At 46.6% G+C, this 22,811-nt stretch overlaps 1 long non-coding RNA gene across 1 annotated transcript in view, besides 3 other annotated features; it reads right to left on the bottom strand.

Moving 5' to 3' along the window:
• LOC107984933 (uncharacterized) overlaps nt 1–22,811 on the bottom strand; it is an 82,158-nt gene that overhangs the window by 9,943 nt on the left and 49,404 nt on the right. The window lies entirely within an intron of this gene.
• Nucleotides 12,943–13,624: an enhancer, noted in NCBI's record as "OCT4-NANOG-H3K27ac-H3K4me1 hESC enhancer chr1:29828047-29828728 (GRCh37/hg19 assembly coordinates)". NCBI's record gives its function as "activates a minimal SCP1, AML or CMV promoter by ChIP-STARR-seq in naive H9 embryonic stem cells {active_cell/tissue: H9 hESC(naive)}" and the evidence as "EXISTENCE:reporter gene assay evidence [ECO:0000049][PMID:30033119]".
• Nucleotides 13,625–14,306: an enhancer, noted in NCBI's record as "NANOG-H3K27ac-H3K4me1 hESC enhancer chr1:29827365-29828046 (GRCh37/hg19 assembly coordinates)". NCBI's record gives its function as "activates a minimal SCP1, AML or CMV promoter by ChIP-STARR-seq in primed H9 embryonic stem cells {active_cell/tissue: H9 hESC(primed)}" and the evidence as "EXISTENCE:reporter gene assay evidence [ECO:0000049][PMID:30033119]".
• Nucleotides 14,307–14,988: an enhancer, noted in NCBI's record as "H3K27ac-H3K4me1 hESC enhancer chr1:29826683-29827364 (GRCh37/hg19 assembly coordinates)". NCBI's record gives its function as "activates a minimal SCP1, AML or CMV promoter by ChIP-STARR-seq in primed H9 embryonic stem cells {active_cell/tissue: H9 hESC(primed)}" and the evidence as "EXISTENCE:reporter gene assay evidence [ECO:0000049][PMID:30033119]".

The following is a 22,811-nucleotide window of genomic DNA, read 5'->3' as shown; positions in this document are numbered from 1 at the left end:
GAACTGTAATTGCAAAGACAGACCCTTTATTGAAACCTGGTAATCAATTCACTATGGAGCAAAGAGGTTCCCAAGACCTAAAGATGATAAGAAATGTATATTAATTAGCTTAGTTCTTTATCTGTATAAAAATCAAGCAAACAAAAATATTGGCTGCAAAGCAATTTGCCATCTGCCAATAGACTCTGGCTGCCCTGGGGAGATGCTGGTTTCCTTTTTCCTGAAATTTGTTTATAACTTGCTGTTAATCAAACCTAGAGCAGAGAGATATGTGGAAATTATATGGAGACGACGGATTTCATGAGGACCTTGAGCAGACATGGGAAGAATTGCGACAAACGAGCAGCGGGAACTTGGGTTGCAAGACCCCACGATGCCAGCCCTGCCTTGCTGGGAGCTTGGCAACAGAGCCCTTTCTGAATCAGCCCCTCACAGAGAGAACGTGATCTACAGGATGGCAGGTGCCCGAGGATGGCTGTTCCAGAAGATTCCATATAGGTCGGTCTCCCTAGAAGCAGAGCCTGAGACGGAGATGTGTGGGGATGTGTGGGATTGTGGAGGGCATACCCTCAGGAGAACGGGAGTGACGGAAGCAGCAGAGGGCAGGCAAGAAGCCAGACCAGGGCATGGGCTCAACGCGAGTTCACCCCCAGCCTGAGCCCACGGGGAGCTCTGGAACGTCATCTGTGGCACCACACGGCTCTCCTGCCCTGGGCAGTGAGATAGATTTTTTTGAACCCTGTGTCATTAGCTGAAGGTCACCGTGTGGGGAGAGTTTAACCTCTTAGCCTTTGCAAGGTGAGTCTGCAGTCAGCGCTCTTGAGCTGAGGTTAATACTCACTGCAGCCAGAAAGAATTGGTGCCCTGGTCAGTCAAGAGGATCTGGGTGGGTACCAGCTGTCACGCCTGTTATGGCTTGGGTTGTGTCCTCCAAATATTTATATGTCGAAAGCCTAATCCCTAGCACCTCAGAATGTGGCCTCATTTGGAAATAGGGCCTTTACAAAGAAAGGCAATCAATTTAAAATGAGGTCATTGGGGTGGGCCCCAATTCAATATAACTAGTGTCCTTGTAAAAAGGGGAAACCTGGACGTAGAGACACACATACCAAGAGAATGCCATATGAAGATGGGAGCAGCAATTGGGTAACGCTTCTACAAGCCAAGGGACGCCGAAGATTGCCAGCCATCCATCCCCGAGAAGCTAGGGGAAGACATGGAACGTATTCTTCCTCACAGCCCTCAGAAGGAACTCACATTGCTGGCACCTTAAATGGGGACTTCTAGCCTCCAGAACTATGAGGGAACACAATACATTCTGTCCTTGAAGCCCCTCGGTTTGTGACACATCGTTATGGCAGCTTTAGCAAACTAAAAGCCCATCTGTGACTCCAGCCACCACCAACATCTGCTGATTCTGCCCACCCCACCAGAAGGCTCGCCTCTGATAATAGCCTCCTTATTTCCCTGGAGAAACCCTCTCGGTCCTAAGGGGTCCTGCAGAAATCACCCCACCCCAGATGGAGGGGTAGCCAGAACCCCAGGTCTAGCCAATCAGAGCCTTGCTTCCCCAGCCACAGTGACTGGTTCAGGCATGAGCACATGACCCAATCTGAGCCAATCAGGCTGAATTCCGGCCCTGTCCGTGGAATCAGAGACCACAGGGTGTGAGCGTGGAACCATGGAGCCATCTAGAGGAGAGAGCCTGTCTGTGTGTGAGGCTGGCATGGTGGAGACCAGAGCCAAGAATGGAGACCTGATGATATCATTTAGTTAACCATAAGGCTTTCATTTCCCCCATCATCCTGATTTCTATAAATATATTTCATCCAATGTATAACTAAACTGTTTCAGATCAATTTTGGAACTTATAAATTTAAATACTACAAAAAAATAGGTTGATTCAGACTGCAGTCCAGGGCGATCTTGAATTAGGAAGTGACACTACGTTATTAAACAAAATTATAGCAATCATTTATTAAAGGTGAATTACATACTGTAAGTGCCAGGCATTAATGCATTTGTTTTATATGCATTACCTTAAACCTCACAACCACAACCCTTCCTGTGACGTGAGGCCTATGATTTCCTCATTTTTCAGTTGAAAAAACTTGTGTTACTTTCAACCAGCCATTCCTCTACCCTGATACCAAAAAAGCCAAAGACAGCACACAAAAAGAAAACTACAGACCAATATCCCTTGTTTCTTTCTTCTGCCTTCCTGTGGGTTATGTGAATAGTTTTTTTAGACTTCAATTTTGACTTATCTATACTGGTTTTGAGTATATCTCTTTGTATAGTGTCTATAGTGGTTACTGTCAGTTACATTACATTAATATATAGATAATTTATCACAGTCTACTAGTGTCATCATTTTGCCAGTTTGAGGGAAGTATAGAAAGCTTGCCTCCCTTTACCCTCCTCGTTAATAATATAAATTTCTTAACTATTTCTTCTATATACATTTAGAACCACATCAGAAAGTGCTATAATTTTTTTCAACCATCAAATACAATTTAGAAAACTTAAGAGGAGAGTAAAAGTTCATTATATTTACCCATACTTTTGCTTACTGTGTTCTTTCTTCTTCCTGGTGTTCTATGATTCCTTCTTTTACTGTTTCTTCTCCATTTAGAGAGTGTTTTAGCCATTCTTTTAGGGTACGTTTCTGTTAGCAACAAATTATCTTAGTTTTTCTTCATCTGAAAATGTCAATTTCCCCTTCATTTATGAAGGGTATTTTCCCTGAATATAGGATTCTGGGTTGACAGTTCTTTTCTTTCAGCACTTGAAAAAAATGTTGAGCCACTTCCCTCTAGCCTCCATGGTTTCTGATGAGAAATCCTTTTTTGTTCTAATATTTTTCCCCTGCAGAGAGGTTGTCATTTCTCCCTCACTGCTTTCAAGATATTTTCTTTGTCTTTAATTTTAAAAATTTTGACTATGATGTGTCTTGGTGTGAATATCTTTTGAGATTATCCTGTTTGGAGTTCACTCAGCTTCTTGAATCCGTAGGTTTGTGTCTTTTGCCAAATTTAGGAAGTTTTCAGCCATTATTTCTCTGAGTCTTTTTTCAGCCCCCACCTCCTTTTTTTTCTCTTCCTGGGATTCTGATGACATAAGTGTTAGATCTCTAGTTATAGTCCCATAGGTCCCTGGTGCTCTGTTCTTTTTTTCTCCCAGTATATTTTCTTTCTGTGGTTCAGATTGAGTAATTTATATTGTTCTGTATCCAAGATTACTGACTCTTTCCTCTGTCTCCTCCATTTGACTATTGAACCCATTCGTTAACTTTCGTTGTTTTCATTTTTGTTATTTATGGCACAGGGTATAGTCTTACCTTAGTGACTGTTCCGTGGGCACTTGAAAATAGATGTGTGTTCTTCTGTTTGGGGTAAAGTGTTCTGTATATGTCAATTAGACCCTCTTGATCAGGGATCCCCAACCCCTGGGCTGCAGACCGGTGTCGGTCTGTGGCCTATTAGGAACCAGGCTGCACAGCAGGAGGTGAGCATTAGGTGGGCAGGAATTACTGCCTGAGCCCCACCTCTTGCCAGATCAGCAGCAACATTAGATTCTCCTAGAAGTGCAAACTCTATTGTAAACTGTGCATGCGACGGATCTAGGTTGCCTGCTCCTTATGAAAATCTAACTAACACCTGATGATCTGAGATGAAACAGTTTCATCCCCAAACTATTCTCCCCACTACCCCATGTCCGTGGAAAAATTGTCTTCCACGAAACCAGTCCCTGGTGCCAGAATGGTTAGGAACCACTGCTCTTGATCGTGTTGTTCCGATCTAAAGCTTTACTGATGATCTATTAGTTTTATCAATTGCTGAGAATAGCATATTGAAATCTCCAGCTACATTTTTTGATTTGTCTGTTACTCTGTTCAGCTTTATCAGTTTTGCTTCATGTATTTTGAGACGCTAGTATTTAATGCATACACACTTAGGATTGTTATGTCTTCTTGGTAAATGAATCCTTTTATCATTAGGTAATGTTCCTCTTTCTCTCTAGCAATTTTCTTTGTTCTGAAGTCTGCTTTATCTGATATTAATATAGCCACTCTTTCTTTTCTTATCAACATTTTTATGGTGTATCTCTTTCCATTCTTTCCATTTCAACCTACCTATGTTGTTGTATTTGCAGTGAATTACTTGAATGCAGCATGTTGTTGGATTGTATGAGGTTCTGTTGTAGTTATTGTTGCTGTGGGTTTTTTTTTGTTTTTTTTTGCTTGTTTTAATCCACTCTGCCAATCTCTGTCTTTTAATTGATGCATTGAGACAATTTGCATTTAATTGTTGATATGTTAGAGCTTAAGTCTGCTGTTTTATTTTTTGTTTTCTATTTGTTTTCTTTGTTTCTTATTCCTCTGGATCTCTCTTGGTATCTTCTTGTGGGTTACCTAAACATTTTTTAGGATTCTGTATTGATTTTTTATAGTGTTTTTGAGAATACAAGAATATCACTTTCTATAATTTTCTTAGTGTTTTCTCTAAATATCACAAAATATATACATAACTCATCCTGTTCTACTGGTGTTGATGTTTTAACACTGGGAACAAAGCATAGGCCCCTTACTCCTGTTCAGATCTCTTTACACACTTTATGAGGATAATCATAAACTACTTCCTTTACATCCATTATACACCACATTAGATGGTTTTTAATTTTTGCTTCAACCAGCAAATAGGATTTAAGAAACTCCTAAGAAAAAGGATAGTCTACTCTGTTTATCCCCACCCATTCTTAGAGTCTTCATTCTTTCTGAAATTCCTAGCTTTCCTCCATTATCATGTCCTTTATGTTCACAGAACTTCCTTTAGCTATTCTTTAAGGGTATATCTGCTAGCAACAAATTCTCTTAGTTTTTCTTCATCTGAGAATGCCTTTATTTTCCCCTTAATATTTTCACCAGATATAGAATGTGCTATTGACAGTTCTTTTCTCTCTGTACCTGAAAACTGTTGTGCCACTTAATTTGAGCCTCCTTGGTATCAAAAGAGACATCGGCTGTCATTCAAATTGGTGTAACTTAGAAGTAACATGTAGTTTCTTTCTGACTGTGTTTAAGATGTTTCATTGTCTTTAGTTTTCAGGTGTTTAATTATGATGTGGCTTCACATGAATTTCTTTATTTTTCAGACAGGGTCTCACTCTGTCACCTGGGCTGGAGTGCAGTGGCACACACACAGCTCACTGTAGCCTCGATCTCCCAGACTCAAGCAATCCTCCCACCTCAGTCTCCCAAAAAGCTGAGACTACAGGCATGGCTGTACATGGGACTACAAGCTGGTGCCACCATGCTTGGCTAATTTTTGTGTTTTTTTAAAGAGATGGGGTTTCAGCATGTTGTCCAGGCTGGTCTCAAACTCCTGCAGTCAAGCAGTTCACCTGCCTCAGCCTCCAAAAGTGCTGGAATTACAAGCATTAGCCACCACACCGGGCCGACATGAATTTCTTTGGATTTATACTACTTAACGGTTTATTCAGCTTCTTGAATCGTTAGGTATATGTCCTTCTCTAAATTGGGGGAGTATTAGCCATTATTTCTTCAAATACTTTTTCAGTCCCACTCTCCTCGCCTTCTGAGACTCCAATAATAAGACTGAGAGCTATTGTGCTGATGTCCACAGGTCTCTGAGACTTTCTGTTTTATTTTTAGGTCTATTTTCTCTCTGTTCTTCAGGCTGGGTAAATTCTATTGATCTTTCCTCAAGTTCACTGGTTCCATCCTCCATCATCTCCACTGTTGAGCCATTCATTGAGTTTTTTATTTGGTCATTGTATATTTCAGAACCATCATTTCCATTTTGTTCTTTTTTATTACTTCTATTTCTTTGCTGAAATGTTTTATTTTTCACTTGTTTCAAGATCATCCATAATTGCTTATTGAATCATTTTTATGATGGCTGCTTTAGAGTCCTTGTTAGATCATTTCAACATGTGATTCATCTCAATGTTGGCATCTGTTGATTATCTTTTCTCATTCAAGTTGTGATTTTCCTATTCTTGGTATGATAAGTGATTATTTTTCTATTGTATTCTGAGCATTTTGAATATTGTAAGACTCTAGATTCTTTTTTTTTTCCCACAGTTTTAATGAGAGGGCCAGATGGATATGTGTGTTCTGCTCCCCTTGGGCCTGCCTGCAAAGATGGGGTCAGCTCTACTCCCCTGTTGCCTCTGAATGGAGGTGTTAAGCTCAGCTTCCCACCATGCCCTACTGACACCAGGGGTGGAGGGAGGTGAGGGCTGACTCACATCACTTTATTGCTGCAGGGTAGAAGCAGAAACTCAGCTTCCCACTGGGCCCTACTGACACCAGGAGAGGGACGGGAAGGAAGCAGAGTGCCAACCAGCCCTACTTCCTATCACCTTGTTCTGCTTTATGGATGCCAGATTAGGGTGCAGGCAGTTTCTCTCTGGACACACTGATGATTGCCAGTTGGATGAGGTTGAAAGTGTCAAGTGTAAATAGCCCCACAGTGCATTACCCCCTTAAGTCTCACTGCTGCCAGGTGGAAGTGGAGGTTCAGCTCATGGCTGGTCCTGCTGACACCACCCTGGCAGGGGAGTCAGAGCATCTATGTCTGCTACATGCAGCGGAAGTGGGGATGGATGGAACATCAGCTTCCTGCTCGATCCTGCTCAAATTGCAGGGCAGAAGGAGTGGGAGAAGAGCAGCTTTTCTGTTGGTATTGGAGTAGGGCAGGATTTGACAAAAATATTTCCTCCTTTGGCTTCCCTTTTCCCAGTCCTCTGCGTAGAGCAACAGGTTTTTCTTGGTGCTTTTTAGGTCTGTGTCTGTTGGCCATTCTGGGTTGGGGGCTTATGCAGCACTCTGTCCTAGGATATAAGGGAAGCAATAGGGAAAGGCAGAGAGCTTGCCACCGTGCCATTCCTCACATTCTGAGCATCTAGACAGTCTGCTTTCCTCTGTCCTTCAGCCTTCCTGTGCCTACTGCTGGGTTATGTCCATGGCTTTTTAGTTGTCATGGGGAAGACCTGAAAGGACTATGGAGACTCTATCTTGGAGGAAATGAAAGCCCCATCCTTTCAATATTTTAATGCTACTCTTAGACAGAAATAGGGATGCCCTCCCTAACCCCCACAATAGGTGAGGGCCCCATTACCTGTTTCCATGGCAACCCATGTGCTTCCTGTGTGGCACAACCAGTTGTTTTTTTCATAGTTATGTGTGTGTGTGTGTGTGTGTGTGTGTGTGTGTGTGTGTGTGTGTGTGTGTGTGTTTCCTGGCTAATATTGGTCCTCATGATCCCTTTTCTTTTTATTTTTTTCTCGTTTTTTCTTTTCATCCTTCTAATCAATGGAAACTAAAGTTCTCATCATTACTCATCAACAGGACCCACAAGGACCCAAGAACAGGGACATGTCCTGCTCGCTGCTGTATCCTCTGTGCACAGCACAGAGCCTAAAAAGGAAACTGTGAGATGGACTAAAAGCACCAGCGCTGGGAGGCAGAGCTCCTTTAGATCCCAGAGGGCCTTACTGAGGTGGTGACATTTAGGCTGATATTAGAAAGACAAAACAACAGAGCCAGGCAGGTGACACTCAGAGCCTCCCTGACAGAGGGGACGTCAAGTGACCAAGACCCACAGTGGAGATGAGTTTGGTGCATTTCCAGAGGAGCAAGGAGGTCAGCAGGTGTAGAGAGAGGCAAGGCAGCAGACCACAAGGGTCAACGTCTGCCAGCGTAGGAGGGCGATGGGAAGCCAGGAGGTGACATGGCCTGACTTGGGTTTGGGGAAGAGCTTCTGTCTGATGTGATCTGTGTGATCTGCATGGGCTGCAACAGGCACCCAGGGAGGAGGCTGCTGAAATGCTGAGGAGAGATGGAGTGGGGACCCTGAGTCAGGTTAGGGAAGATGTTAAGGGGTAGTTGGATTTGGGAAGTCACCACCTGCAGAGGGTGAGGGGTAATAATGGGGCAGGGTTCGGAAAGCCCCAGGCACACAGTAGCGGCCCCTCCACCCCGCCCAAGTAGAATCTGATTTCTCCCATCTCAGCTCAGGGCTTTCACCCTGCCCCAGGGTCCTCTGCAGAAAACAGGGTCTGCACCAGCTGCTCCAGCTCTGAAGGGGACAGTGTCAGCTGGCCTCTTGCAGAAGCAGACGTTCCTGCATGTTTTGCCTGTGACTTCTCACCACAGGTTTATTGGAGCCTGTCTCAGCACGCACTGGGGGCCCCTATGGAAGCATCTCCTCCAAAGCCTCACCTGCTAAATCCGGACCATTTCACTTCAAGCCAACCTGCCTACCAGAAATCTGCCATGCATCCAGGGGCTGTATACGGGATCCTGTCCTGAAAGCACAAGGGGAGCCCATTGCTTTCAAGACGCGTTCCAAGTCTCGAATCCCCACCGAGAATCTCACAAAGGCAAGAGTGTTAGCACTGGAACTCTAGGCATCCTCCCCTCCAGCCCCTGCACCTTACAGATGGGGACGCTGAGGCTAAAGAGGTCGAAGGCCCTGAGGCCCTGCTGCAATCATTAAGGGGAGTGCTTCGGGGTCAGGTAGATCTTGGATTCACGTTCTAACTCTACCACCTCATTGCTGAGAGCTCAGGTAAGTGACTTTCCCACTCTCAGTTTCCTCATCTATAAAATGTGGACAATAGTAATAGCCAACCCTTAAACTGTGTCTGACATTATTTTAAGCCCTTTATGTATATTCACTCTTTAAATTCTCAAAACAGCTCCATGAGATGGATAATATCATTACCTCCATTTTACATGGGAAAGTAAGGCACCCAGAGCTTAGGTAACTTGATAAAGATCACCCAGCCAATAAATGCAGAGCCAGATCCAAATCCACCTGGCCTTCAAGTCTTTCTTCCCAGCCCAACCCCACCCTGTCTCCAATATGTCCTTGAAGGTCATCTTACGTTAATTAATATATGTCTGTAAAGGGCTGAGCACAGTCTTGGCACACAGTCAGCACTCAATAAATGTTGACTAAGGTGTCAGGTGCCACCCTGCACTCTAGGGAAACAGAGTGGCCAGATGCAGAGTCAGCTCTCAAGGGGCTTCCGATCCCATGGGAAGGACAGAGGAGTGAATTGTCACTTACAGTGCAGACAGCAGAGCTGGGACTGGAGAAGTTCAGGGAGGCACAGGAGCTCGGGGAGGGGAAGTGGAGGTGACAGAAGAGGAAACAGCACGTACAAAGGTGAGGCAGGCCCGGGGACCCAGAGAGGAGCAGCAGGAGCCACTGTAGGTCCCAGAGGTCTAGGAAGGGACACAGTGAGTGGTGAAGGAGTTTTTCAGGGTCGCTGTAGAGCAGGACAGGGATTAGATGGGGAGAGGGCGGAGCCCGGAGTCAGAGGCTGGTGGGCAGCTGCCAGGGTTGGGGCTGAGCTCACATCCAGGTCCTCACTTCCTTACACTCCATGGGCTTGGGGGGCTTTCATAAGGACAGTAGGGGGCCCCCCTCACCTCCCTCTTATGGCGTGCTCTAGATTGGAAAGAGCAATTCTATGGGCAGATGCTGGCACCCCCGACCTCCTCCCGCTTCTCCCTACCCCATCCCCTCTCTCCCTGAAGATGTTCCCACACAGTAGCACAGTACATGATGAAGCACCCTCATTCCTGACAGCTCCAGCTTCAGGGGGCTGGGCTGGGGGAGCACTCAGGAGAGACACTGGACAGGGGCGGGGTGGGTGGAGCGGCAGAGCCTAGACAACACCACTGTCTTCATGGCACTCTACTGTGTCCTGAGTTTGGCGCAGCAGGTCAGTATACAGCTTAGCAAGCATTTTTCATTGTGTTTACTCACCCATGGTCCCATTTGATCTTGACAACAACCTGTGGCACTGTATTAGCACTGACCCCATTTTAGGCCATGGATATGGGCACAGAGAGGGAAAATGACTTTCTCAAGGTCAGACAGCTGGGAGATGGCAGAGCTGGGATGATCTTTGTCTCTGCCATGTGATGATACATACAGCAAGAAGGCGGCCATCCGCCAACCAGGAAGAGAGCCTCCTCAGATACAGAGTTGGCTGACACCTTGATTTTGAGGTTCCCGGCCTCCTGAACCGTGAGAAGTAAATGTCTGTAGTTTAAACCCCCCAGTCAATGGTATTTGTTATAGCAGCCTGAACTGACCAAGATATACACTGACCCCACACAATCACACACACTTGCTCACATGCACACACCCCACATGCTCACATCCCACACACCCTTTGTACGCTCAACAAATGTGGGTTGCTTTTCTAAGACCAGGTTTGCATCCCAGCTCTGCCACCTCCCACACACCAATTTCCACTGACCACCCGGGGGTCCTGTGGGCAAGAGTCAGGAGTATAGTAAGGGCTTTCTGGGGGAAAGCAGCACAGCCTCAAGAAGAGAGGAGACCCTTGCTGTGTGACCTTGGGCATCTCCCGTCACCTCTCTGAGCCTTTCTTTCCCTACCTGCAAAATGGGGATCATTCCAAATTAAGATGCACTTTATTCATAGCTAGCTAATTTTCATTATTATTGCTTCTGGGTGGTAGCTGGGTCTGAGGACAGCCTGACCTCAGCCTGGAGAAAGGAAGACTGAAAAGGGCCTGGGCTAGAGACAGGAATGAGCCCATGTGGCCCAAATCCCGGGACACTGGGGTGACTCCCTGCAACTTGTAAGCTCGAAAGAAACAGCTCAAGAGGAAAGCAAAGGCATTTCTGCTTCCCAGAGCAGAGGCTGTCAGTATGGGATGTCACATGCAGAGACGTGACCAAGGCCAACACTGGAAATATTTAAATGTGTAAGCATTCAATTATTTACTCTGGGCTTTGTTCCACAGAGGATTTGGAAGAGCATGCAGCAAAAGGCCATTCAATAAAGAGAAAAAATAAACAGAAACACAGACATCAGAACCGAGGAACACAAATCAGAGTGGGCATGGAGACCCAGAGACAACAGGGCTCCAGTTGGCTGCCCAGAGGCAGGAGGGAACTCCACGCATTCCTGGTGACCTGGAGGGAAGGGCACAAGGTCAACCCTTCCAGAATTTTCTAAGCCTTTCTGCTATTTTTTTTTTAGCTCAAAGCAAAGGTTGCAGCTTCTGAGTTGTTTCGGCTTCTGAAGGAGCCCTGGTTGTGGGAGCTCCCACATGCAGAGTCAGGGGCGAGGTAGTATTAGGCACCCTCAACCCTTTGCCCCCGGAGATAATTCCAGGTGAGGGACGGAACCCCAGCCCATCTCTTGTCACCTGTGCTGAGTTCCCTGCAGCCTCCTCACACCCTGCAGTAGGTGATTGGGTAATTTTAACACTTCGCATTGTTTCTCTTCCCCAGGCTGAGAGCTCTGTGAAGTAGGAAAGGTTCTGGATTATAGGCTGTGTGGACCCAGTGTCTGACAGCTGCTCAGTCAACACAAGTCAATGGATGGGCAGGAGCCGATGACTTCGGTTCAATTCAACACACTTTGATTAGACAGCTGCTCTGAGCCACCTGGGATAGAGCAATTCACAGCCTGGGCCTGGAGTCCTGTTTCACTGGAGAGGGCAAGTTCAGGAGAGGGAGGAGGGGGAATGAACTAGTGTTCATAGTGCACCTGCTGTGGGCATGCTTACCATTATTCATGTTTCACAGCAGCCCCTGATGGGCAGAATAATAAATAGCCATGTTTTTCAGAGGAGGAAACGCTGGGTTCAGAGGAGCAAAATTCTTTCATTCATTTATCAGCTAACTCAACAAATATTTATAGAGTCTGTACAATGGTCCAGGCACTGTCCTGGGTACCGAGGATCCGGGCTGGGAAAACAGGCAGGCATTCTGCTCTTGCATAGCTCATAGGCTGGAGAGGAGAGCGGTATTAAACAAGAAAGAACACAGATGAATGGATGATTACCAATTGAGGTAAGTGCTGGAAAGGAAAAGAGCAGGAGGCCAGAAGTGAGGACAACAGAGGGAGATTCATTTGGTGGGTGGAAGGGGGGAATCAAGAAAGGTTCTGCTGAGACTGAAGGCACAAAGAGAAGAGAGAGAAAATGCAGGTATAGACGACTCCGTGTGCAACGGCCCCAAGATGGGGAAACACAAGTGCTGTGTGGCTGGAGCAGAGAGGAGCAGCGAGGTACAGGGGCTGGACCATGTTGGGGCCACCCGAGCCAGAGGAAAGCCTGTGGACTGCATTCAAAGAGCGCCAGGAATCCAGTGAAGGGTTTTAGGCAAGGGAAGAAAAGTAGGATCTGAGTTTATCTTTTATAAAAATAACTTCTATATTGTTCAAGGCAGAGCTAGGACTGACTCAGGTCTGCCAAATCTCCATACATCTGTCCAGCCCACCACATCATGCTATGTCATTCATCCACCCCACCCCCACCCAAACCTCTGCCACCAGCTCCAGCACCCTGGATCCTCTCCTTCTCTCCCTGGGTTGGAGATGTGCTGAGTGACCTGGGGCCAATCTCCTGCCCTTGCTGGCCTCAGTCTTCCACTCTCATCCCCTCAATCTATAGAGTTTCCTGTGAAAGGCCATGCTCTGGAATTCCTGCTGATGGCATGATGTGGGGGGCAAGTGAATGAAGGACCCTGAAACAAGCCTAGGCAGGGCCTCAGGAGGGGGCACAGAGGAGGTTCAGGGGCCAGAGTCTTGGGACAGGCATCCAGAGGCCTAGGGCCTCTGCCACTGACCTCCAGAGAGGCCTGGGGCAGCCCATGACTCCCCATGACTCAGCTTCCCCATCTGCGAAATGGGAATCAGCTTGCTGTACACTGTGGGTGACGTAAACCAAAAATAAACCACATCAGTAATCCCAGCACTTTGGGAGGCTGAAGGAGGGGATCACTTGAGCCTAGGAGTTCGAGACCAGCCTGGGCAACATGTCAAAACCTCATCTCTACAAAAAATACAAAAAGTTAGCTGGGCATGCTGACACACACCTGTAGTCCCAGCTACTCAAGAGGCTGAGGCAGGAGGATCACCTGAGCCTGGGAGGTCAAGGCTGCAGTAAGCCATGATTACGCCACTGCATTCCAGCCTGGGTGACAGAATGAGACCCTGTTTCAAAAAATAAAATAAAATAAAAATTAAGAAGTTTTCTAAGCATAGTGGTGCACACTTGAAGTCCCAGTTACTTGGGATGCTGAGGTGGAAAGACAGCTTGAGCCAGGAGGCTGCAGTGATCTGTGATCATGCCACTGCTCTCCAGCCTGGGTGACAGAGCAAGACTGTGTCTCAAAATAAAAATAAAGTAAAATAAAATTCTAAGCCCCCCAACCTACTAAATGGACCCTCCTCTCAGCCAAGGGGATTTCAAAGAAACCTAAAAAACTAGTTAATGCCATGATGGAACGGGAGGGTCAGACATGCCTCATTATTCCCACCTCCCTTCGGAATTCAGCACAGCTGGCCAGCATTAACATTAAAATAGAGATCTTAAGGCTTACAAAACAGACTCTTTGTAGCAATAAAATATCGAATTCCAAACGGACTCTAGTGTAGCATCACATGACAGATAACAGACACTGAAAGAAATCAAAATATTTTACCCCAAAATATATTTCTTTGACATATTTTTAAATGGCCCTGCAATGCTTCTCTTGTGAGGGAAATTTACATTCTGTAGAGAATTCCTTTCCCTTTCCAGGTCTTTTTCTGATCCCGAAGAGATTAGCTTCGAGTCTAACTCCTTTTAAAGGTCTGAATAGAAAACATTTGCCATCTACTGCCTCTAAGGGTGGCCACCTAAGAGACTTCATCTACATAATAAGAACCTTGGTCTCCACAACTCCTTATCTTAAGCCAGACACTCCTTTCTATTGATTCCAGTTCTTTAGATAATAACTTAACTCATTCAACCAATTGCCCAATTGCAAATCAGAAAATCTGCGAATCCACCTATGACCTCCCCGCCTTTGAGTTGTCCCACCTTTCCAGACTGAACCAATGTATACCTCACATGTATTGATGTCTTAAGTCTCCCTAAAACATAAAACCAAGGTATAACCCAACCACCTTGGGCACATGTTCTCAAGACCTTTCCAGACTGTGCTTCAGGCCATGGTCATTCAAATTTGGCTCAGAATAAACCTCTTTAAAAATATTTTACAGAGGTTGACTATTTTCATTGACAGTGCTTTCTGGTAGCATAGGGCTTCTGACCCAAGTTGTGTTCCAGGAGCCCCTGGAAGGGATGGCATGGCTCCTTTAGTGGATCCCACAGCCAGGGGCAGTCAGGGTGGGTGAGGGCAGGCCCGAGGTTTATCCTGGGTGTCCAAGTGGAGTCATCTCCACTCTGCCCACTCTCTGTCCCCACCCAGGTGGAGGTGCAGGCAAAGGGCTGACCTCTCAGGGGCAGAGAGGCCTGCAGGGAGGGAAAGCGGAAGGCTGTCTGCAGGGGTGACAGCAGCCCTAGGTGAGCACAGTTACCCTCGAGTGTGAGTGTGTGGGTCGGGGGGTGTTAAGTGTGTGTGTGTTTGTGAATGTATGTCTGCATGTGTGTCAGTGTGTTTGAATACATGTGTATGCATGTCTGCACCTGTGCGTGTCTGCATTTGTCAGTGCATATGAGTGTGTGTCAGTGTGTGCTTTTCTGTGTATGAGTGCATCTGAGTGTATATCTACATGTGTGTCTGTTTATGTAAGTATTTATTTCTGTGTATACATGTGTATATGACTCTGTGTGGAAGCTCTGTGACCCCCCAGGCCCTTTCCCGCACCTCCTCCTCACTCCTACAGTAGGCTTGCAGAAGGTTCCAGAAGGGCCTTGGGTGCTGGTCCTTAATGTCTGAGCCCAGCTAGTCCTTGGGAGATCAGGAAGGTCTTTCTGACCTGTCCAGTCCCCGGTCAGCCCCCACCCCAGCACAGGAAGCACCCAGGCCCCACCCTCCTGCGTGGGCATTGCCTCAGCCCGGCCTTGGTGGACGGACCTCGGACACGACTGTGCTGTTCTCTCTTTGCACACTGCTGGGAGAGACCACTATGCCTACTCCTACTACCCGTAAGTAGTTCCACCTGGCCTGGGAGTCCACAGCCCCACCTAGGGGGAGATCTCCCACCCCCGCTCTCTCTGGCTGGGCTTGGGCTCGCTGCACCTGGCCTGGTGTCTGCCCTGTTCTCCATGGCCACCTCAGCCTCTGACTTTCTCTCCTCTGCTCTGTCCCTCCCCTCTGCCTCTTCCTCCTCAAGTCATGGTCATCAGTGCTGGAGCTGACTCTGCTGAGTAGCCCTGGGCAACTCACCTCTCCTCCCTCAGTCTCAATGTCCTTTCCACCACAGGGGCAGTCCCTTATGTCCTTGAACCATTCCCTGTGGTCAGGAGGACGTCCTGCAGAGCACAGTGGCTCAAGCCTGTAATCCCAGCACTTTGGGAGGCCAAGGCAGGCAGATTGCTTGAGCCCAGGAGTTTGAGACCAGCCTGGGTAACATGGCAAAACCCCGTATATACAAAAAAATAGAAAAATTAGCCAGGCGTGATGGTGCATGCCTGTAGTCCCAGCTACTCAGGAGGCTGAGGTGGGAGGATCACCTGAGCTCAGAAGGTTGAGGCTGTAATGAGCTGTGTTCTGGCCACTGCACTCCATCCTGGGCAACACAGCAAGACCGTCTCAAAAAAAATGAAAAACGAAGGACGTTCTCACCACCTACCAAATCCACATCCAGGACCATCCTTACACAGGTCCCACTCTAGAGTCCATGCCTGTGTGCACGTGTGTGCTTGCATGCACGAGGGCAGGGTGGACCTGTCCCGACACTGGCAGCTCTGTTCACAACACAGACGACTCTCAGATCCCCCATGAGCCCCTTCTCCAGCCAGGCAGCCCCAGCTCTGCAGACCCACCACTTCCTGGGCACCTCCTCTGGGCCAAGCCCTGTGCTCAGTTCTGGACCCAGAATCCTCATGACAGCCCTGACAATAGGAGCTCTTATCACTCCCACTTTACTGATGAGGAAACTGAGGCTCAGAGAGGCCAAGGGACTTGTGGGAGGTCGCAGAATGTGCCAGAGCTGGGACACATCCCAGGCCCCTGCTGACTCCACAGCCTGCCGATGCTACTCTGTCTTCTGTCTCTGTCTTCTCCTAATCTGCAAGCCTTCCAGAACATTCCTCCCACATCAGTGCTGGTTTTCCCTACTTCGCAGAGCAGGCCCAGATGGAACTGGGCTAGCCCCCAAGGATGGCAGGTCTCTCACCTCCTCCTCCCTGGACTGCTCCTTACCTTGCTGTTTCCCGACATGAGCTTTTGCAGCAACTCAACACCCAGTGACTCACACTGAGCCTCCAGCTCAGCTCCTGCAGGGGCTGTGGACAGGCAGCTCTCCCTCCCTGCTGCTTGTGCGGTTAGTTTTCAAAACCAGATGCAGAACTTTTCAAAGAACCTGTATTAAATTCCATCTGCTTAATCTCGCATTGAGCTCAGCCCGACGCCAACAGCGTTAGGTGTCCCTCCCAGGTTCCATCTTCTGGGGATCGGGTTGGTTTGTTTCTGTAGCTCTTCTTCCAGGTAGGCCAGGAGTCCTGGGCTGGGAACAGAACCTGTGGCACACCCCTGGAGAACGCCCTCTAGGCCAGCATCTGCTCACTGACGGGTCCTCTCTTGCCTCCATGTTCAGACAGCCTGGCTGGCTGTCCTCTGTCCATGGCCCTGTCTGTCCTCCCTACAGCTTTTTGTGTCTGGCCTGTCCCTCCCTCTCTCTCTGTCCCCTTCCCCATCTCTCTCTCTCTCCTTGTTATTGTCCTTTTCTCTCTTCTCCTCCCCTTCTCCTTCTCTGTCTGCCCCTGATCCTTTCCCCACTCAAGGTGGTCAAGGTCACAGCCACAGAGGCTGCTCCTCATCTGCCCCCAAAGGGTGCTTTGGCTCCGCCCTGGGCCACAGTGAGGGCGATGCCCAGAGCCTGGCAGGGACCAAAGGTAAGAGGCCTGGGCCTGGCGAGCCCTCTCCCATCCAGGCTGGGAAGGCTGTGCCCTCCTCAGTGCCCAACAGCAGTGGTCCCAGTGGGGACACAGAGCCATCTCCTTATCGCAGGAAGGACAACCTGGTCCTAGCAGGAGAGGCATCCAGAGGTCATCCTGTCCTTCCCTTGCCCCAGGACAGGCTGGCTAAAGTTTGTCTAGGAAGATTCTTTCATTGGCCTCCCTGTCCCCATGGATGGTAAGTGTCCCTGAGCCCGCATAACCTGGAAGTCCTTTCTCAGGTCTACCCTGCATCCTGCATGCTCTAGGGCCGAACAGGTGAACAGCTCTCTCCTCTGGAGCCTCCCCTGTGACTGGGCCGCTCGGGCTCATCTCCAGCCTTGACAAGAGTCCCAAGTTGTTTCCCCTGTGCCTGTTTCTTGGACCCTTGATCATGGAGCTGTCTCCTACCTCTCCACCTCCTTCTCTCCCTCCCAGTTTCCTCCAAGTTTTTCCAGGATCACAAACTGCTGTCCTCATGCATGAAACTGGGCCTGGAAGCCTGGGCCATGCAGGGCCCTTGCCTAGAAGCCACTCCAGAAGCTCTGTCCCTCCAGTGGAGGGACTGGGGCCTCTCACCTTCTTCCCCTGCTACTTGGTCTTAACTGGGGATGGGGGCTGGATGGGCTGATTGGGGCTGGCGGGAAGATGGACCCTGGGTGGATTTCTGTTCCATATCCTTTGTAGCTGGCGATGGGCCCAGGCCTGGTGGCTTCTTGGAGAAATGCGCACAGAACTGAAAGGCCCAGGTTGGAGCTCAGCCTCCGCCTACAAGAAACTCCCCACCAACCGGGCTATTGCCAGACCTCGGTCACTAAGAAGGAGGGAGGATGGCTTCACACAGCCCATTCCCACAGCTAGAGAAAATCAACTTGACTGTAGGTCTTTGGAATGGATGACGGGGAAGGGGATGGAGGTGGGGACACACTGTGGCTGGAGCCAGGCCAGCTACCTTCCCAGTTTGGGATGCAGTGGAGGCAGAGGAATTGTCTGCTGTGACACCAAAGTAGGCCTGGAGAGGCTTTCCTTCCCATTTTCTGAGCCCATGGGGCCAGTGAGACCTAGAAGCAGGATCCCAGCCTGAGGTCACTGCTGCTCCATGCCTTGCCCTCAGCAAAGGTCCCCAGGACAGGCACCCTGCCAGCCCCATTTTGGGGAGGCAGCAGCTCTCTGGGTTTGATGAGTGAAGGTTGGAGGCGGAGCCCTTCAGCATCCAGAGATGCTTCCAGGACAGCTGCTGGCTCCAGGCCTCAAGACCCTTGACTTTGGGGCCTCTCCACCCACCTCTGAGCACTGTCCGGCCCCACACAGCACCTATGTCTCCCATCAACCCCCGACCCCCACCCCGCAGGAAGCCGATGAACGAGACCAAGGCCACTGTCAACTACTGCCAGGAGAGGACCCACATGATGAGCACCATGGACCAGAGCTTCACAGACCAGAGCCCCCTGCAGGAGGAGGAGTGGCTGGGCCTGTCCTTCATAGACACTCACGGCTATAGCTCCCAGTGTGAGTACCCGGCCCTCCTGTCCCTTCCTTATTGTTCTGGGGCTCCTGACCCAAGCCAAAAGGATCAAGCCCCTCTGGGGCACTCCCCACATTGGGTGAGTTCTGTAACACCATGAATCAAAATTGAAGCATCTATTCTGCCCCTTCTGGGTACTGACACTGTACTAGAAATACAGAGAAGGCACATGGGGTATCTTGTACAGGAGGAGCTTTTAAATCATTGAGGACTTAGACACAGACTCATACTAAGATATGAAAAGAGTGGGGAAATAATTAGCCCTCTTTTGGGCACTGCTCTGGTTCCACCTAACAAATATTAAAAGCAAGACCAAGTATAATCAAACTGTTTCCAAGTAACTTAACTATATGCCAGACAAAGCTCAAGAATACTTATAGGAATACAAAAATATATGGCTTCCCACAAAAATTTGCAATGTCTAACATCCAATCAAAAATTACCAGACATGCAAAGAAGCATAAAAATATGACTAATAATGAAGAGAAAAATAATTCAATTGAAACTGATTCAGCATGCAGAGCATGGTCAAAGCAGGGGTGGCTGGGAAGCCGTGTTCAAGAGACTAGAAGGGAGTCTCAGCATCTTCTATCTCCTTTCACCTCTTACCCCTGACTGGTCCAGAATTTCACCTTGCTATGGTTTGAATGCCCCCTCCAAAACTATGTTGACCCTTAATCCCCATTGTAACAGTGTTAAGATGTAGTCTTTGAGAGGTTATTAGGATAAGATAAGCTCATCAGGGTGAAATCCCTATGATGGGACTGGTGGCTTTATAAGAAGAGGAAGAGAGGTCTGAGCAGGCATGATCTAGTCCCCTTACCATGTGATGCCCTGCACCACTTCAAGACTCTGCAGAGGAGACAAACAAGGAGGCCCTCACCAGATGTAGCTCCTTGCCTTGGACTTCCCAGCCTCCAGAACTGTGAGAAATAATTTTATTTTCTTTATGAAACACCAAGTTTGTGGTATTCTGTTATAGCAACAGAAAACTACCTAAGACACCCCTCTACCCTTTCTTCATCAAGATGTAGAGACCCAACTCCTCTGGCCTAAGTCTGAAAGCCATGTTATTTTGACAGTTCCTCAATATGAAAGTTTTTAAAAATGGACTTATCAGACACACTTCACACCCCGATTTGTATTTTAATACAATTTTCCAATAAAAGGAATCTGGGGTCCTTGGAGAAATCTGGCTGATTCTAAGATTAGGTTAGAAATTGTACAAAATGGGCCTGGAGTATCTTGTAGTGCCAGAAAATAAGTAGAAAGTGCTTAACACATACACACACAATAATGACAAAGTGTCAAAGGAATACAGGTGCCAACTGAAAAATCTCCCAATGGCAAAAGTCAGAAAAAAATAGCAAAAACTAAATAAAGTAATATCATATTATAAACCAAAGTATAAAATAAATATCCATGCCTTCATACTGATTTAAATAAATTATCTAATAAGTTAATATGGGAGAAGAGACAAACCTCCCATGCAGAATTCCAAATAATTTAGTTAGATGCTCAGCACTCACATGGGTAGAGCTTAACTCCTTCTTAAGGGTGGCTGCATATAATGACTTCCTTCTAAAGTGTGCAGTATGAGAAGAGAGAGAAAGAGTAACCTTATGGTGGAGAAACCTGATGAACGTGACCTTAGCCAGATGATTAAGGTTAACATCATCAGTGATAAGTCTTGTCAATATCACATAGTCTTAATGTGACATAGTAAGAATGGTGACTCTGTAGTCTTCCTGCCTAAAAAATATAACCCCAGTATAATTACAAGAAAAAAATCAGACAAACCCCAATTGAGGCTTAACAAGTGATACTGGGACAACTATTCTAACAGAGGCAAAAGAATGAATCCAGACCCCTACCTCACACCATCTACAAAACTAACTCAAAATGGATCTAAGTTTTAAAGGTAAGAGCTAAAACTATAGAATTCTTAGATGAAAACATGAATGTAAATCTTTGTGTCATTGGATTAGGCAATGGATTCTTAGGTAAGACATGTAAAACACAAGTGACCAAAGAAAAATAGATAAATTTGACTCCATCACAATTAAAAGCTTTTGTGATTCAAAGGACACTCTCAAGAAAGTGAAAGGACAACCCACAGAATGGGAGAGAATATTTGTAAGTCATATATCTGACAAGGGCCTAGTACACAGAATATATAAAGAACTCTTACAACTAAACAACAAAAAAAGACAGATTTTTAAATGGACAAAGGATGTGTGTAGACATTTCTCCAAAGAAGATATGCAAGTGGCCAATAAGCACATGAAAAAATGTTCAGCATTAGCCACGGGGGAAATGCAAATCAAAAACCACAATAAAATATCACCTCCCATCCACTGGGATTGTTATAATTAAACAATAACAAATATATTAACAAAAAACAAATATTAGATGTGGATAAATGGAAATCCTTATATATTGCTATAGGAATATAAAATAATTAAAGCCACTTTAGTAAAGTTTGACAGCATCTCAAAAAGTTAAACATAGAGTTACCACATGACCCAGAAATTCCATTCATACATATATACCCAAGAGAACTGAAAACATATATTCAAACAAAAACTTGTACACAAGTGTTCATATTAGTATTATTCATACTAGTCTAAAAGAAAAACCAGCTCAAATGTCTGCCAAGTGATGAATAAATAAACCAAATGTGGTATATCCATACAATTGCAATATTATTCACCCATAAAAATTAATGAAGACCTCACATCCATTAGGATGGCTACTATCATTTTTTAATTTTTTTTAAGAAAATGACAAGTACTACATTGCAGAGAAATTAGAACCTTTATGCACTGTTGGTGGGAATGTAAAATAGTGCAGCTGCTATGAAAAGCAGTACGGTGGTTCTTCAAATAATTAAAAATAGAACTGCCATATGATCCAGGAATTCCATGTATAGGTATATATCTGAAAGAATTGAAGGCAGGGTCTCAAAGAGATATTTGTACATCCATATTCATACCAGCATTATTCACAATAGCCAAGAGGTGGAAGCAACCCAAGTGATCATCAACAGGTAAATGAATAAACAAAATGTGGTATACGTACAGGTATTAGCCTTTTCTCACATTGCTATAAACAACTACTTGAGACTGGGTAATTATAAAGAAAAGAGGTTTGATTGGCCCACAGTTCCACAGGCTGTACAGAAAGCATGGTTGGGGAAACCTCAGGAAACTTACAATCATGGCAGAAGGCGAAGGGGAAGCCAGCACATTCTACATGGCTGGAGCAGGAGGAAGAAAGAGAGTGAAGGGGAAGATGCTACACACTTTTAAGCAACCAGATCTCATGAGAACTCAATCACGAGACAGCACGAGGGGGATAGCGCTAAACGGTTAGAAACTACCCCATGATCCAATCACCTCCCGTCAGGCCCCACCTCCAACATTGGGAATTATAATTCAACATGAGATTTGGGTGGGGACACAGAGCCAAACCATATTAACACATGATAGAATATTATTCAGCCTTAAAAATGAAGGAAATTCTGAGACATGCTACAACATGAAGGAACCCTGAGGACATTATGCTAAATGAAATAAACCAGTCACAAAAAGACAAATACTATATGATTCCACTTATATGAAGTATCTAGAGTAGCCAAATTCATGGAAGCAGAAAGTAGAATGGTGGTTGCCAGGGGCTGGAGGGAGGGGGAAATGGGGAGTTATTTAATAGGTATAGAGTTTCAGTTTTGCAAGATGAGAATGTTCTGGAAACTGGCTGTAAAACAATGTGAATGCACTTAACACTACTGAACCGTATACTTCAAAATGGTTAAGATAATAAATTTTATGTTATATGTATTTTACCATAAATTTTTTTTGAGATGGAGTCTTGCTCTGTTGCCCAGGCTGGAGTGCAGTGGTGCAATCTCGGCTCACTGCAACCTCCACCTCCTGGGTTCAAGCGATTCTCCTGTCTCAGCCACCGTAGTAGCTGGAATTACATGCATGCACCACACCAGCTAATTTTTGTATTTTTATTAGAGGTGGGGTTTCGCCACATTGGCCAGGGTGATCTCAAACTCCTGACTTCAGGTGATTTGTCTGCATCGGCCTCCCAAAGTACTAGGATTACAAGCATGAGCCACTGAGCCTGGCCTAATTTTTTTTTTAATTTTTTGAGACGGAGTCTCGCTCTGTCACCAGGCTGGAGTGTAGTGGCATGATCTCAGCTCACTGCAACCTCCGCATCCCAGGTTCAAGCGATTCTCCTGCCTCAGCCTCCCAAATAGCAGGGACTACAGGCGTGTGCCACCACACCCAGCTAAGTTTTGTATTTTTAGTAGAGACAGGGTTTCACCATGTTGGCCAGGATGGTCTCAATCTCTTGA

This window comes from Homo sapiens, chromosome 1 (assembly GCF_000001405.40).
Source record: "Homo sapiens chromosome 1, GRCh38.p14 Primary Assembly".
NCBI classification, from domain to species: Eukaryota; Metazoa; Chordata; class Mammalia; order Primates; family Hominidae; genus Homo; species Homo sapiens.
The sequence above is the reverse complement of the archived record's forward strand: the minus strand, read 5'-3'. Positions and strand labels throughout refer to the sequence as shown.